Raw genomic sequence first — 18,129 nt, forward strand, 5'->3', positions numbered from 1 at the left:
CCTATGTCTAACATTGACAAAATACTATAATAATACAATATTTTAATATGCTGAAAAATAAACACCTTCGGGGCTATGTATTTCAAACTGGTTTATTCTAAATTGTATGAAGCTAAAAAACAACAACAAACCCTGCTTATTTTAATTGAAAGATATATTATTGTAAATGCTTAAATTTATTACTATAATTTACTGATTAATATATCTGGCATTATTACTGTGTTTCATTAATCAGTTCATCCTGGAATTGAACACCTTAAAAGGATAAGATTATTTCATGATTAATAAGGCTTACTAAAATAATTTTGCTCTTACATTGAGTTTTTTCTATAAACTCCTGAGGAGATTTTGAATATTTAAATCACAAATAAAAATTAATCCTTAAACTTCACTGAGTTAATTAAATGAAGAAAGAATATCAGTACAAATTGGCTAATTTTGATAACTTAAATAAATAGGCCCAGTGGTTTTTTTCTTTTTCAAGTAAATTGCATATATATGTGTGTATTAAGTAATATGTATACATTATTTATGTGTGTGTGTGGGTAACATATGTGTGAGACATGTGTGTATATATATATAAAAATACAAAATATATGTAATATATAAATTATATATATTATATATTATATAAATATAAATATATATATATAAATTTTTTTTTCCTCACTGCTGCTTTTCAGGGCTATTATTCAGTTCCCATAGTATAGCAACTTTCCAATTCTGGTGGTGGGATAATAACTACTTCATGACTGGAATGTTGCCTACCTGGCCTCTCAATGTTCCATTCTCAGGACTCAGTTTTTTAGTAAAGTCCAGTAGTGTACCAAGAGCCTTTTTTGAACAGTGTTCAACTCTCAGCTGTAGCTATAATTCCCATTTTCTTAAATACTGGAATATGCACTGCATATTTATTAGCAAGGTGAAAACAGACTAATACAATAAATTGGTACTGAGAGTGGGATGTTGCTGAAATGATACCCAAAAATGCGGAAGTGACTTTGGAAGTGGGTAACACACAGAGGTTGGGACAGTTTGGAGTACTCAGAAGAAGACAGGAAAATGTGGGAAAGTATGGAACAACCTAGAGCCTTGTTAAATGGCGTTGACCAAAATGCTGATAATGATATGGACAATGAAAGGTGGTCTCGGATGGAGATGAGGAGCTTTTTGGGAAGTGGAGCAAAGGTGACTCTTGTTAGGTTTTAGCAAAGAGACTGGCAGCATTTTGCCCCTGCCTTAAAGATTTGTGGAACTCTGAACTTGAGAGAGATGATTTAGGGTATTGGGCAGAAGAAATTTCTAAGCTGCAAAGCATTCAAGAGGTGACTTGGGTGCTGTTAAAGGCATTTGCTTTTAAATGGGAAACAGAGCATTAAAGTTTAGAAAACTTGCAGCCTGACAATGCAGTAGAAAAAGAAAAACTCATTTTTTGAGAAGAAAATCAAGATGGCTGCAGAAATTTATGTAAGTAGCAAGGATCCTAATGTTAATCCCCAATATCGTGAGAAATAGGTCTCCAGGCTGTGTCAGAGACCTTCACAGCAGCCCCTCCCATCACAGGCCCCGAGACCCAGGAGGCAAAAGTGGTTCTGTGGGCCTAGTCCAGGGTCCCTGTACTGTTTGTGGCCTAGGGACTTGATGCCCTGTGCCCAAGCTGCTCTAGCCATGACAGAAAGGGGTCAACATAGAGCTTGGGCTGTGGCTTCAGAGGGGCTTGCTTCAGAGGATGGAAGCCCCAAGGCTTGGCAGCTTTCACATGGTGTTGAGCCTGCAGGTGCACAGAAGTCAAGAATTGAGGTTTGAGAACCTCTGCCTAGATTTCAGAAGATAAATGGAAACGCCTGGATGTCCAGGCACATATTTACTGCAGGGGTGGGGCCCTCATATAGAACTTCTTCTAGGCAATGCAGAAGGGAAATGTGGGGTTGGAGCCCCCACAGAGAATCCCTACATTGACACTGCCTAGTTGAGCTGTGAGAAGAGGGACACCATCCTCCAGACCCCAGAATGATGGATCTAGCACCGTGCAGTTGGAAAAGCTGCAAACACCCAACACCAGCCCATGAAGGCAGCCAGGAGAGAGGCTGTACCCTGCAAAGCCACAGGGGCTGAGCTGCCTAAGACCATGGAAACTGACCTTTTGCATCAGCATGACCTGGGTGTGACACATGGAGTCAAAAGAGATCATTTTGGAGATTTAAAATTTGCCCCACTGGATTTTGGTCTTGCATGGGCCCTGTGACCCCTTTGTTTTGGCCAATTTCTCCCACTTGGAATGGCTGTATTTACCCAATACTTGTACCCCCATTGTATCTAGGAAATAACTAGATTGCTTTTGAGTTTACAGGCTCATAGGCTGAAGCTACTTGCCTTGTCTCGGATGAGAATTTGGACTGTGGACTTTTGGGTTTATGCTGAAGTGAGTTAAGACTTTAAGGGACTGCTGGAAAGGCATGGTTGGTTTTGAAATGTGAAGACAGATTAGGAGGGGCCAGGGTTGGAATACTATAGTTTGGCTGTGTCCCCACCCAAATCTCAACTTGAATTGTATCTCCTAGAATTCCCACCTGTTGTGGGAGGGATCCAGGGGGAGGAATTAAATCTTAGGGGCTGGTCTTTCCCATGCTATTCTCGTGATAGTAAGTAAGTCTCACAAGATCTGATGGGTTTATCAGGGATTTCCACTTTTGCTTCTTCCTCATTTTTTCTTGCTGCTGCCATGTAAGAAGTGCCTTTCACCTCCTGCCATGATTCTGAGGCCTCCCCAGCCATGTGGAACTGTAAGTCCAATTAAACCTCTTTTTCTTCCTAGTCTTGGGTATACCTTTATCAGTAGTGTGAATATGGACTATTAGAACACACATGTTAACTTTTTATAAACTGACCCCAGCAAGGTAAACAATAAAGCAAATTTGCTTGTTGTAATCATTATTAGTGTTATTTTGTTTATTATCAAGGAATACATTGTTCACTATCTATTTCTATATATTTTTCAACTTTAACCTAGTTTATTAATTTTTGCTCTCTGTCTTTAGCAATGTTTTATTCAGAAAGCATTTTGCCTGTTTAATGTGGAAACCAGGTGGGAATCTGTAGTCTGCTCAGGGAAGACTCGGGGTATCTGGTAGGATAAGCTGAAATATTTTGCCTTTTCCTTGTCTAGCTTGATACTATCAAAACTGTTTGTTATGATTTTTTTAATCCTTTGCTGGTAAAAATTTTTCATGTGTTAAGCACAACATTATATAACAAATTCATGGTTCAGTGTAAGAAACAGAAGTCATTCCAGATATTTCAATTGTTTGAAACAAGTGATAATAGAGGCACAACATATCAGAGCCTCTGGGATACAGCAAAAGCAGTGATAAGGAGAAAGTTTATAGCATTAAATGCCTACATTAAAAAGATAGAAAGATCACAAATTAACAACTTACTATGGTACCTCAAGAAACTAGAAAAGAAAAGAAAGTAGCAAACCAAACTCAAAGCTATTAGAAGAAAAGAAATAAAAAATCAGAGAAGAACTTAATGCAATTGAGATAAAAATACAAAGAATCAATGAAATTAAAAGTTGATTCTTTGAAAAGGTAAACAAAATTAATAGACCACCAGCTAGACTAACCAAAAAAAAAAAGAGGTTCAAATAGGCATGATCAGAAATGAAAAAGGAGAATTAAAACTGATGCCACAGAAATACAACAGATCATGAGAGACTACTGTGAACCTCTGTGTGCTCACAAATTAGATAAACTAGAAGAAATATATGCATTCCTGGAAACATACAAACTCCCAAGATTGAACCTGGAAGAAAAGGAAATTTTGAACAGGCCAACAATCAACTGTGAGATTGAATCAGTAATAAAAAATTTTCCAACATCAACAACAACAAAAAAACGAGGACCTTACAGATTCACAGCCAAATTATACCAGGTGTCAAACAAGAACTAGCACCAGTCCTCTAAAAACTGTTAAACACACACACACATATACACACACACACACACACACACACACACACACACACAAACATCGAAAAGGAGGAAATCTTCCCTAACTCACTCTATGGAGCCACTATTGCCCTGATAACAAGGCCAGGCAAGGACACAACAACAATGAAAAAAACTACAGGCCAATATTTCTGATGAACATAAATACAAACATTTTCAACAAAATACTAGCAAACTGAATCCAACAGTACATCAAAAAGATAATATACCATGATCAAGTGGCTTTTATTTCAGAGATGCAAGGATATACAACATATGCAAATCAATAAGCATGATTCACCATATGAACAAAATTAAAAATAAAACCAAATGATCATCTCAGTAGATGCAGAAAAAGCATTTAATAAAATTCAGCATGGCTTCATGATGAAAACCCTCAACAAAGTAGGTATTGGAAGAACAGAACTCAATATAGTTAAAGCTATATGCAACAAATCTACAACCAAAATCATACTAAATGCAGAAATACATTTAACATAGGAAATTACATGCTTGTCAAACCACTGGTGGAGTTGGAGGGATGGAAGTCACTGTCATTGTCTACAATGACATACCATTGCTGCCATGACCCTGGCCAGAAAACTACTGTTGTCACTGATGTCATCACAGAGCCACCCACACTCATGAAGTTTGTGACTAGGTAAGGAAGCATAGACTATGCCTGCTGCTACTCTATATTTGCTAAAGATCACCTGTGAGTTATCACTGATACTGAAATGTCACCTCTTCTCTTCTGCATTTGAATTTTATGCCACTACTTCAAGAAAGTAGAGTCTGAATTGTTTCTAGTTACCTGGCTACATGCACATCCTTAAAATATGAGTTTTAGTGTTGCCTTCTTAGTAACACATGAGTGATCTTAAAATGGAGTGGAAATAGATGATGAGTATTATCAACTGACAGCAGCTTAAATAAAGTTTGTATTGAGTATTTGTAAAATGTTGCAACAAAAATGACATTTTAAATGAGAAACTCAAACATTCTCTCCCCTTTCCTGCATAGGTAAATGTAGTAATCATTAAGTATTTAAAGTTAACAAAATTATCTTGTGACTTTTCGGCAAAGATCTCCTGTATGTTTCCTAGGGCTGCCAGAACAGAATACCACAAACTAGGTGTCTTAAACAGCAGAGATTTATTTTCTCATAGTTCAGAGGCTGAGTGCCCAAGATCATGATGTTGACAAGTGTAGATTCTTTTGACGCTTCATTCCTTGGCTTGTGGATGGCTGTCTTCTCTTTGTGTTCTCACATGGGTTTTTTTCTCTGAAAAAGCATTTCTGGTGTGATTGTGTGTTTCTGAATTTCCTCTTATTATAAAGACACTGGTCAGATTATAATAGGGCCCACTTAATAGTCTCATGTTAGATTAATCTCTCTGTAGGCCCTGTCTCCAAATATTTTCACATTCTGAGGTGCTAGGAAATTCAGCTTCAATATGAGTTTTAGAGGGACATGATTCATCCACTAACACTCCCCTCCCATAGTTTTTTATTTAATTTCACAAGCAGATGCCATGTGGACCATGTAAATTTCCATAGTCATTATGAAGTTACATGAAAGGTCATTCTCATGTAATTTATTGATAAATTTTACCCTAAAACTTTAACCTTATACGTGTGTGTGTGTGTGTGCGTGCATGTATGTAGGCGTACCTCATTTTATTATGATTTAATTTATTGTACTTTGCAAATATTGTACCTTTTACAAATAAAATATTTCTAACAACTTTGCAATGAGCAAAATAATTTGTGCCTTTTTTTTTCAACAGCATGTACTCATTTTGTGTCTCTGTGTCACAGTTTGGTAATTTTCACAATATTTCAAATATTTTTATCATCATTATATTTGTTATGGTGATCTGCAATCAGGGATCTTTGATGTTCCTATTGTAATTGTTTTGGGGCCCCATGAACTTTTCCCATGCAAGTCGGCAAACTCAGTAGAAAAATATGTGTGTTCTAACTGCCCCAACAATCCCACATCTCTCTCCCTCTCTTCAGGCCTCCCTATTGACAACAATATTAAAATAGGGCTAATTAATAACCCTACAATGACTGCTACATTTTCAAGTGAAAGGAATAATCACATATCTGTCACTTTAAATCAAAAGCTAGACATTATTCAGCTTAGTGAGGAAGGTATGTGGAAGGCTGAGATAGAGGCTGAAATTAGGCCTCTTGTTGTAAAGTTAGCCAAGATTTGAACAGAAAGGAAGAGTTTTGGAAAGTAATTAAAAGTGCTACTTCAGTGAACACATAAATGATAAGAAAGCAAATGGCCTTATTGCTGATATGAAGAAAGTTAAGAGTGGTTTGGATAGAAGATCAATCAGCCACAGAATTCCCTTAAGCCAAAGCCTAATTCATTAAAAGGCCCTAACTGCCTTCGATTTTATGAAGACTGAGAGGGGTGAGGAAGCTGCGGAAGAAAAATTTGAAGCTAGCAGAGGTTGGTTCATGAAGTTTAAGAAGATAAGCCTCCATAGCATGAAAGTGCAAGGTGAAGCAGCAAGTGCTGATGTAGAAGCTGCAGCAAGTTATCCAGAAGATCTAGCAAAGATCACTGATGAAGATGACTACACTAAATAGATTTTAATGTACATGACACAGCCTTACATTGGAAGAAGATGCCATCTAGAATTTTCATAGCTAGAGAAGAGAAGTCAAAGCCTGACTTTAAAGCTTCAAAGGACAGGATGACTCTCTTGTTAGAGGCTAATGCAGCCATTAACTTTAAGTAGAAGTCAATGCTCATTTACCATTTAGAAAAGTCTAGGGCCCTTAAGAATTATACTCTACCTATGCTCTATAAATGGAAACTAAGACTAGATAACCATGCCCATGTTTACAGCATGGCTTACAAAATTGTCAAGCCCACTGTTGAGACCTACTACTTAGATTAAAATTGCTTTCAAAATATTACTGCTCATTGACTATACATATGGTCACCCAAGAGCTCTGAAGGAGATATACAAAGAGATTAATATTATTCTTATTCTTCTTAGTATTATAATTATTTTGAGATGGAGTCTCACTCTGTCAACCAGGCTGGAGTGCAATGGCGTGATCTCAGCTCACTGCAACCTCTGCCTCCTGGGTTCAAGCGATTCTCCTGCCTCAGCCTCCCAAGTAGCTGTGATTACAGGCACACACTGCCACGCATGGCTAATTTTTTTGGATTTTAGTAGAGACGGGGTTTCACCATGTTACCCAGGCTGGTCTCAAACTCCTGAGCTCAGGCAATCCACCCACCTTGGCATCCCAAAATGGTAGGATTACAGGTGTGAGCCACCGCTCCTGGCTGAGATTAATATTGTTTTTATACCTGCTAACGCAAAATCTATTCCGTCGCCCATGTGTCAAGAGGTCATTTGATATTCAAGGCTTTCTATTTAAGAAACACATTTTCTAAAGGTATAGCGATGGTTATTCCTCTGATGAATCTGGGCAAAATAAATTGAAAACCTCTGTAATGGATTCACCATTCTAGACGATATTAAGAATATTTTTGATTCATGAGAGGAAATCAAAACATCAACATTAACAGGAGTTTGGAAGAAGTTTATTTTCAATAAATAATTGCTGCAATATCATGATAAAACTCAAATGAAGAAAGACTTGCTTCTTAAGGATCAGGAAAGAAAGTGGTTTCTGGACATGAAATCTACTGCTGGTGAAGAGTCTGTGAACATTGTTGAAATGACAATAAAGGATTTAGAATATTACGTAAACTTAAATTATAAAGCAGTGGCAGTTTTGGAAAGTATTGACTCCAATTTCAAAAGAATTTCTACTATGGGTAAAATTTGTCTTATTTTAAGAAATTGCCACAGCCACCCCAATCTTCAGTAAACTTTACTCTTAAGTTAGCGGCCATTAACAGTGAGGTGAGACCCTCCACCAGCAAAAAGACTAGGACTCATTTAAAGGACAGATAATTATTAGCACTTTTTAAAATAAAGTATTTTAAAATTAACATATGCACATTGTTTTTTAGATATACTATTGCACACTTAATAAACTATAGTATAATATAAATATAACTTTTGTATGTACTGGGACACCAAAAAAACATTGTGTGACTCATTGTCTTACTCTATGTTGCTATAAAGGAATACCTGAGTCTGGGTAATTTGTATAGAAAGGAGGTGTATTTCGCTCATGGTTCTGCAGGCTGTACAAGAAGCATAGCCCTGGCATCCTTCTGCTTGACTTCTTGTGAGGATGTGAGAAGGTCAAACTTCCACTCGTGGTGGAAGGCAAAGGGGAGCAGCATTACTATGTGGTGCCGAAACACATGGAAAAAGAGGAAGCAAGAGAGCAGGGTAGGAGGTTGCAGGCTCTTTGAAACAGCATCCCTCAGGGAACTATTAGAGCAAGAATTCACTCACTACTGTAAGAATGGCATCAAGCCATTCATGAGGGATCCACCCCTGTGATCCAAACACCTCCTACTAAGCCCCACCTCCAACAATGGAGTACAGGTTTCAACGTGAGATTTTCAAGAAGTCAAACATCTAAACTATAGCACTTGTTTCATTGAAATATTCACTTTATTGCCGGGCACTGTGGCTCACGCCTGTAATCCCAGCACTTTGGGAGGCCGAGGTGGGCGGATCACAAGGTCAGGAGATCGAGACCATCCTGGCTAACAAGGTGAAACCCCATCTCTACTAAAAATACAAAAAATTAGCCGGGTGTGGTGGCGAGTGCCTGTAGTCCCAGCTACTTGGGAGGCTGAGGCAGGAGAATGGCGTGAACCCGGGAGGCGGAGTTTGCAGTGAGCCGAGATTGTGCCACTGCACTCCAGCCTGGGTGACAGAGTGAGACTCCATCTCAAAAAAATAAAAATAAAAATAAAAAAAAGAAATACTCACTTTATTGCAGTGTTCTGGAAACAAACCTGCAATATCTCCGAAGTATCTCTCTCTCTCTATCTCTCTCTCTCTCTCTCTCTCTCTCTCTCTCTCTGTCTCTCTCTCTCCCCTGTCTCTCTGTGTGTGTGTTTTAACCAAATGTGCAAAATATCTAGGCTCAATTATTTACACACCACATTAAAGAAACTCAAAATTGAGGAAATCTTTTTACGTTATAGAATATTTGGGGTCCATTGCAAATTTTTGCATGACCTTAATGATCTCAATACATACTTTCACTATTACAAATAAAGCTAGTTTCTAAGGTTACAAAAATGAATGTGTTTTACTTGTTTCAAATTAACTATTTTCTTTTCTTTGTAGGAACAATAAGGAAGTGAGTGCTTTTGTAATTCCTGAACAACTGTGTCTTACACTTACTAAGGTAAAATATCAGGATTATGTTAATCTACACTGAATGATGAGAACACTACTGTAAAGTTAGTTAAGGAATGTTCTAAAATTCTAACTAGACTTTGAATAAAATTGTGTTAATTATGCTAATGTAAAAGTATCTTAAATGCTCCCATTGCTCATTATCTTTCTGTGAGTTGCAATTATTCTGTAGTGCTGCAAACTACACTGTGAAATAAGAGCCACTGGCATTTTTATAAATTATCTAAATGTAAAAATTGCTGTACGGTGGTTCACATAAATTCTTTTTATTACAGTGTTCACAGTACGTAGATACAGTGACAGATCATTTCTAGGTAGAATCAAGATGAAAAGTGTAGTCCAATTACTGCAAGAAATTCCAGCAATAAAATAATTTTTTGGCTTAAATTGGCAACTCAGAAAGAAAGGCCAGGCCTTCTGTATGTTTGAGAATAAAAGTGAGCTTATTAATTTGGCTTATTATACACAAATATAACAAATGGTTCATTTCTGATACACTTACTGATTTTTATTCAAGGTAAGGTAGTTCATTAAATTCAGAAAAAGTGACACAAGATAATATGAAGCTGATATTTGTTTAGGTATACTTCAAATAAATATACATTTTAGGTATATTTCAGGAATTAAGCCATATCCCAATTGTTATGAAAATAATCATCACTGAAATTCCTTGCAGTAATTGGATCATACCCCTCATCTTTATTCTACCTAGAAATGACCCGTCACTATATCCTTATACTGTGAACACTGTCGACGATTAAAGAAACTCATATGACCCATCATACAGCAATTTATACAATAGTTTATAAAAATGCTAGTGGCCTTCTAGTAATGTGTGTGTATATACATATATATATATATATGTATTTGTATACATATGTGTATGTATATGCACATATATATACACACATATGTATATATTTGAAATAAACTAACATACCATACAATATATTAATTTAAATTTTAAAATTCAATAGATTTTGTTATAATAATGCATTGCTTAATGCAGATATGTTCTAAGAAATGCATCATTAAGCAATTTCATCCTTGTGAGAACATTATAAAATGTACTTCCACAAACCTGGATAGTATAGGCTACTACACACCTAGGCTACCCCGTATATCTTACTGCTCATAAGCTACAAACCTGTACAGCAAGTTACGGTAGTGAATACGGTAAGCAATTGTAACTCAATGGTATTTGCCTGTGTAAACATATCTAAACATAGAAAACATATGATATGATAGAAACATTTTTAGTTCTATTGTAATTACTGGGACCATATATGCAGTCCATTGTTGACCAAAACGTAGTTACGCAGCTCATGATGGTATATTCACAGAGTGGGGCAACCATCACCACAAAAACTTTAGAAAACTTCTATTACCCCAAAGCAAAAATTCTATACCACTTACTTAACAGTCACCCTCATTTTTCCCCACCATCACCCTCAGTCTTAGGCAACCACCAATCTGCTTTCTGTCTTTAGAGATTTGCCAATTTTGACAATTCATATGAATGAAATCATACAACACATGGTCTTCTGTGACTAATTCCTTTTGTTGACATAATATTTTTAAAAATTCATTTTTAATTTAGTATGCATCAGTACTTTATTTTTTATTATTGACAAATAATATTTCACTGCACATAACACATTTATTCATTCATCAGTTGATGGACATTTATATGTTTCTTCCCTGTTTATTATAAATAGTGCTGCTATGAACTTGGTGTATATATATTTTTACTTCTCAAGTACTTGTCTGGGAGTGGAATTGTGGGATCATATAGTAATTCTATGTTTCACTTTTTGAGAAACTGCCAGACTTTTACAAAGTAGCAGTACCATTTTACATTCCTACCAGCACAGTACAAAGCTTCCAGCCTCTCACATCCTCACCAACACTACTTTTATATCTTTTTAATTATAACCAAGTAAGTGTGATGTGACATCACATTATGGTGTAATTGTCTCTTAATAATATATCAATTAGTAACAAATATCCTCAAGTTATCACCAAGGATCACTTAAATTGTGCTGGTCCAGCCCTTCATGTGTGCTGATTTTGCAATTATCAATAATCTGCAACAACTGATTTAAATACTTAACAGAGATATCAATTATAAAAGAAAGAGTTAAAGAAAAAATAAGGAAAGAGCAAAATAATAATTATAATTCATAAATAATATTTCATATATTGGACATACTGTATTTTATCCATTCATTGACTGATGGACATATGGATGGAAAAGAAAGGAATGATAGGAAAAGGAGGACGTACTAGCATGAGAAAGGAGTTGATTGTCAGACAACATATTATTTTAATGTCCTGAGAAAAATAAGTGTTAATCTAGAATCCTATATTCAGACAAATGATCTAACAATTTGGGGCTCCCAAGAATGTTCTATGACTTTCCCTTGATGCCCAGTGTTCCAATTTCCCTTACATCCCTCTGCCATGGAAAGCTGTGTTGGTTTCATTGACACCTTTCTAACCAGGATACCCTTGCCCCTACTATTCCCTCTTTTCTCCTTCCTTTCTGATTCAATTTCTCTTCTCTAAATTTTTCTAATTCTTTAAGGATCAGTTTGAGTGCCTTTCTTTGCAGAAGGAAAAATCCTCTTAGAAAAAAAAATGGACATTATGAACATATTCTCTTCTATGTTAAATTGTCAATCTCTTGTCACCACAAAATAGTATTTTATGTGTTAAAATTCTCCATATCTCCTAGTAGAATGTCATCTGCATAAGAGGTATGAATATACATATAAAATTTTAGTAACCTATTAAGGAAAATCTTATTGAATTATTAATGAAGAATGTTTCTGTGACTTGTATTCAAAGCTAATTTCTCAAATCTTGATTAATTACAGAATTTTCTTCATCTATTATTGTTCGCTTTCATAATTATAAAACAGCATACCTCATTCAAAATATCTTAATATTGTAATTTTCTACAACTCAAGGAATTGTACTATCTGAGTCAGTGACTTCAATTGGCTATATTTGGCTGTATGCTTAACTGCATACACGTTCACACACAGCAAGTTTAAAAACTCACGGAATATTTAATATTAGATGTAATTTCAAGAGTACAATTTCAGAATATACATATAGTTTTATTTACATTATGAGGTACTTTTCATTTGATTTGATTTCTTCTTGTATCCCTTGAATACATAATTGGATTATTATGGATTATATAATCAAGGGACATAAGAAGAAATGCATTATTCTTGAATAATATTCCCTTTATCAATGCCAAGGAAAGTTATATAAATGCCTGGCTTGAAAAAACACAGGATCCATATTTTATCCAGAGACAATGTAAACAAATTAGTTTCAACACAATAGATTTTGGGGTAATACAGAAAAATGTTAAATTAAAGAAAGGAAATCTGGTCATAATAAAAAGTGGTTACAAATATCATTGAAAACTAAAAAGGAGGTAGAAAAGAACTATAAATATTTAAATATTAACTAAAATTGTTTATTAGAAACTTTCTAACTCTGTGTGGCACTTGAATGGTAATACTGGTCTTCTAAATCCCTGTGTCTGTTTGTGACCAAAGAGCTGCCACTAGACCTTATAAGGCATCTTTGTTCTTGTTATTGAGAGTTGTGGTCAGAGCTAAAGAAGTCCATGGCCTATAACTGTATCTGAACTTCATTTTACATGGCTATACGCTCTTTGAACTAATATTGCTGTTTCAAGATTACTGCTCAGAGAATTACTATCCCACTGGTTCACTGCTGATTTTTCTATTTAGAGCAGAATTGTTAAAAAGCACATTGACTGAAGTAATATCAAAGATGTATTTGAGTGCTAATGATCCAAGATCTTAAGAAACTATCCAAGGGCCATGGACAATAACAGATCATTTTTATAATATATAAATTATAAAGGTCAATTATAATTTTAGAGGATAAAAGTAAGTATTGGTAATGATGATATTTGCCCTGCCAAATATCACAGGGCTGCAGGACAAGTTTGCTAATATTCTAGAATTGCTCTTTTCAAACTAGATTTCAGAAACTCCTAGAGCTGTACTAAAGAGAGGCTGAGTTACATACTGGGTAAGCCTGGCCCCAGCCAGCAACCTTCAGTTCAACAGAAAACAAATGTTAGAACTGTGTAGTTTTATAAGAAGTTAGAATCTATACAGCAAATTAATTCTCTTTTATGATCATTTTGGATAAACAATTTAATTCTTTCTAGAAGATAAATACCCAATGCAACATATTAATTGCTTGACTGGCTTTAAGTTCACTGAGTCCATCTGTCTATACTATGATAGATAGTGAAAATCACATCCCTTCTTTCATTAACATTTAGGTAGCAGATGAAATTGAAAACCCACATATCTGAACACTTCCCAATGTATTACACTTAATAAAAATGAAAACTGTTTTCATTTTGGCAATCTTCTTCACTGCTGAAGTTACCTCTTCTGACTTTATAAATTATATATTGATATTAGTTTTCTTGTGAATGTTTATATTATCAAGGCTTCTTACAGACTCAGTTTTATTTTTTTTATTATTATACTTTAAGTTCTGGGGTACATGTGCAGAACGTGCAGGTTTGTTACATAGGTATACACGTGCCATGGTGGTTTGCTGCTTAGACTCAATTTTAAAGCTTGCTATAAGTATTTTCTTTTGATAGTAACATTATCACACTTTGTCAGTGGGAATACTATGTGTTTATAATATTATAATATAATATTAGATTAGATTAAATATAATATTCTATCTGTAGAGCAAGGTTTAAGATATATCTTTATTTTTATGTATTCATTCATTAAAGCAGCATTCTCAAAGTAGGTCTGGAGACTTTAAATAAAAATAGTATTGTTGATCAAAATGTGGGCATTTAATATTATTCCACAATACTGGTACTTGGTAGCTTGGAGTTACTAACCTCTAGGCCACTGGGGTTACTAACAAAGCCGAAATATATTCTTGTTAATCAAATGTGCTCACATCAGTCTTTCCTTTTTAAATTTAATTTTGTAAAATATTTTGCTTTAATTTTAGTCTGATATAAATTGCTAAATATTTATTCTTTATAATATGTTTACTAAAACTCTTATACCCTCAGTCTCTTCTTTCTAATAACTCTCATACAACTTACTGACTACCATGCTATGGCAATTTCATTGACCTTGAAGGTTTTCACCAAAACTATTGCTTCTCTTTCATCATTGTTTGAAACAATTCATGAAGTATTGTGATTTCTTATTTGAAATAATGAAACTAAATAAAGATTTACATTAAAAATCAGAAAATGATGTTAAAGTTAAATACAGTTAATCTAAATTTTTTCACATAATTTGATTTCGTGAGTTTACTTTTCATGTAGCTTTTCTCATTCTTATTGCATCACAATGCAAATCGTTTGCATAAATTCTGCCTAAGAAATAACATATTTCATAACACAATTACTCAATTTCAATAAAGAACCAGATATTAACATAGAAAGAAATGCAGTGTTGCTCAAGATTTGATTAACAAAAAAAATTGCAAAGAATGTGTTTTTGCAGCTATCTCTAGTCAACATGTCTAGTTTTTGAAGGTCAAAAGGAAGAAAATAATAGAAGAGAAGTTAGCCAATCAGTCAGTTCAATAATGGTAACAATAAAAGTCAAATATAATTATAAATTGGTAGGAAGGAATACTAAATAGATTTTTAAAATATTTGATCCTTTATACTTAGATTTAAAAATATATATTTACTATAAGATTAGTGTATCTTTTATGGAAAAATGGATGTAATAGTCAGTTGCTTAACAATTGTGTATCATAGTTGTGTATGTAAGTCTATTGTGTGTGTGTTTCTACCCTGAGCTGTAGAACATGCCAAAGCATGGGCACAAAGTAAACAAAACATTTTCAGATGGAGCCAAGATAAATAATGATATCAATCTAAGCTTAAAAAAAATCAAACAACTAACAATAGCTTGTGGCTAATATATGAATGATAGGGATAGACTGCAATTTCTGAGCAAAGCTGTTTTTAATAACCATGTATATCAAAGCATCAGGGAACACTCAATATCTTAAAATGTTCTTACTATACTAAGTTTGTAAGCATATTCCATTTAAAAATTTGGAAAAACAAAAGCCTAACAATCTAGATGTGATGAATACTCATCCAATGTTGTCCAGAGACATTGAACTTTGGCAAGAAAAATATAAGGTACTGTATTTTGCTCTAAGCAAAGTTTCACAAGGTGTGATCTGCAGACCACTGCTGGTCAAAAACTCTCATTGCTCTATGCTTTCACAACATGGAGACCAACAGTGACAAAAAGAAATTACCTGTAGAAGGTAATCTATTTTCCACTGACCTTCAAAATACCAATCCATATTTGTGTTTAATATTTTGGATTCAGGGATTCATGGGCAATATGACTGAATAGGAACAGCTCCAGTCTGAAGCTCCCAGTGAGACCAACATAGAAGGTGGGTGATTTCTGCATTTCCAAGTGAGGTACCCAGCTCATCTCATTGGGTCTGGTTAGGCAGTGGGTGCAGCCCACGGAGGGAGAGCCAAAGCAGGGTGGGATGTCATCTCACCCAGGAAGTGCAAGGGGTTGGTGAACTCCCTGCCCTAGCCAAGGGAAGCCGTGAGGGACTGTGCCATGAGGAAGCCTGCATTCCAGCCCAAATACCACGCTTTTCCCAGTCTTCGCAACCTGCAAACCAGTAGATTCCCTCGGGTGCCTATGCCACCAGCACCCTGGGTTTCAAGCACAAAACTGGACGTCCTTTGGGCAGACACCAAGTAGGCTGCAGGAGATTTTTTTTCTGTACGCCAGTGGTGCCTGGAATGCCAGCAATACAGAACTGTTTATTCGCCTGGAAATGGGGCTGAAGCCAGGGAGCTAAGGGTTCTTGCTCAGCAGATCCTATCTCCACAGAACCCAGCAAGCTAAGATCCACTCACTTGAAATGCTTGCTGCCAGCACACTAATCTGAAGTCGACCTGGGACACTGGAGCTTGGTGGGGGAAGGGACATCTGCCATTACTGAGGCTTGAGCAGGCGGTTTTCCCCTCAGTGTAAACAAAACCACTGGGAAGTTTGGACTGGGCGGAGCCCACCGCAGTCCACAAATGTGCTGTAGCCAGACTGCCTCTCTAGATTCCTCCTCTATGGGCAGGACATCTCTGAAGGAAAGACAGCAGCCCCAGTCAGTGGCTTGTAGATAAAACTCCCATCTCCCTGGGACAGAACACCTGGGGGAAGGGGCTGCTGTGGGCACAACTTCAGCAGACTTCAATGTTCCTGCCTGCCGGCTCTGAAGAGAGCAGTGGGTCTCCCAGCACAGCGCTCGTGCTCTAGTAAGGGACAGACTGCCTCCTTAAATGGGTCCCTGACCCCCATGCCTCCTGACAGGGAGACACCTCCCAGCAAAGTTCGACAAACACCTCATACAGGAGAGCTCCAGCTGACATCTGGCAGGTGTCCTTCTGGGACGAAGCTTCCAGAGGAAGAAGCAGGCAGCAATCTTTGCTGTTATGCTACCTCCACTGGTGATATCCAGGCAAACAGGGTCTGGAGTGGACCTCCTGCAAACTCCAGCAGACCTGCAGAACAGGGTCCTGCAAACAAAAGCAATAGCATCGACATCAACAAAAAGGATGACCACTCGAAAACCCCATCTAAAGGTCACCAACATCAAAGACCAAAAGTAGACAAATCCATGAAGATGAGGAAAAGCCAGCACAAAAAGGCTGAAAATTCCGAAAACCAGAATGCCTCTTCTCCTCCAAAGGATCACAACTCCTTGCCAGGAAGGGAACAAAACTGGATTGAGTTTGATGAATTGATAGAAGTAGGCTTCAGAAGGTGGGTAATAACAAACTCCTCCTAGCTAAAGAGGAATGTTCTAAACCAATACAAGTCAAGGAAGCTAAGAACTTTGATAGAAGGTTACAGGAACTGCTAACTAGAATAACCAGTTTTGAGAAGAACATAAATGGCCTGATGGAGGTGACAAACAGCACGAGAACTTCGTGAAGCATATACAAGTATCAATAGCTGAATTGATCAAGCAGAAGAAAGGATATCAGAGACTGAAGATCAACTTAATGAAATAAAGTATGAAGACAAGATTAGATAAAAAAAAGAATGAAAAGGAACGAACAAAGCCTCCAAGGAATATGGAACTATGTGAAGAGACCGCACCTACGTTTGATTGGTGTACCTGAAAGTGATGGGGAGAATGCATCGAATTGGAAAACACACTTTAGAATATTATCCAGGAGATCTTCCCCAACCTAGGAAGACAGGCCAACATTCAAATTCAGAAAATACAGAGAACACCACAAAGATACTCCTTAAGAAGAGCAACCCCAAGACACATATTCATCAGATTCACCAAGGTTGAAATGAAGGAAAATATGTTCAGGGCAGCCAAAAAGGTCAGCTTACCAACAAAGGGAAGCCCATGAGACTAACAGCAGATCTCTCTGCAGAACCCTACAAGCCAGAAGAGAGTGGGGGCCAATACTCAACGTTCTTAAATAAAAGAATTTTCAACACAGAATTTCATATCCAGCGAAAAAAGCTTCATAAGTGAAGGAGAAATAAGATCCATTACAGACAAGCAAATGCTGAGAGATTTTGTCACCACCAGGCCTACCTTACAAGAGCTCCTGAAGGAAGCACTAAATATAGAAAGGAAAAACTGGCACCAGCCACAGCAAAAACAATCCGAAATGTAAAGACCATCGTCACTATGAAGAAACTGCATCAACTAGTGGGAAAAAAAAACCAGCTAGCATCATAATG

The 18,129-nt window shown here is 36.4% G+C and overlaps 1 long non-coding RNA gene across 1 annotated transcript in view; it reads left to right on the top strand.

Annotated features, from left to right (window-relative positions):
- Positions 1-18,129, top strand: part of LINC02241 (long intergenic non-protein coding RNA 2241) — a 325,854-nt gene that overhangs the window by 186,763 nt on the left and 120,962 nt on the right. Inside the window, exon 5 of the long non-coding RNA NR_149120.1 lies at positions 9,251-9,311. This is a non-coding gene — a long non-coding RNA (long intergenic non-protein coding RNA 2241). The remainder of the gene's footprint in view (positions 1-9,250; positions 9,312-18,129) is intronic.

This window comes from Homo sapiens, chromosome 5, assembly GCF_000001405.40.
Source record: "Homo sapiens chromosome 5, GRCh38.p14 Primary Assembly".
NCBI lineage: Eukaryota > Metazoa > Chordata > Mammalia > Primates > Hominidae > Homo > Homo sapiens.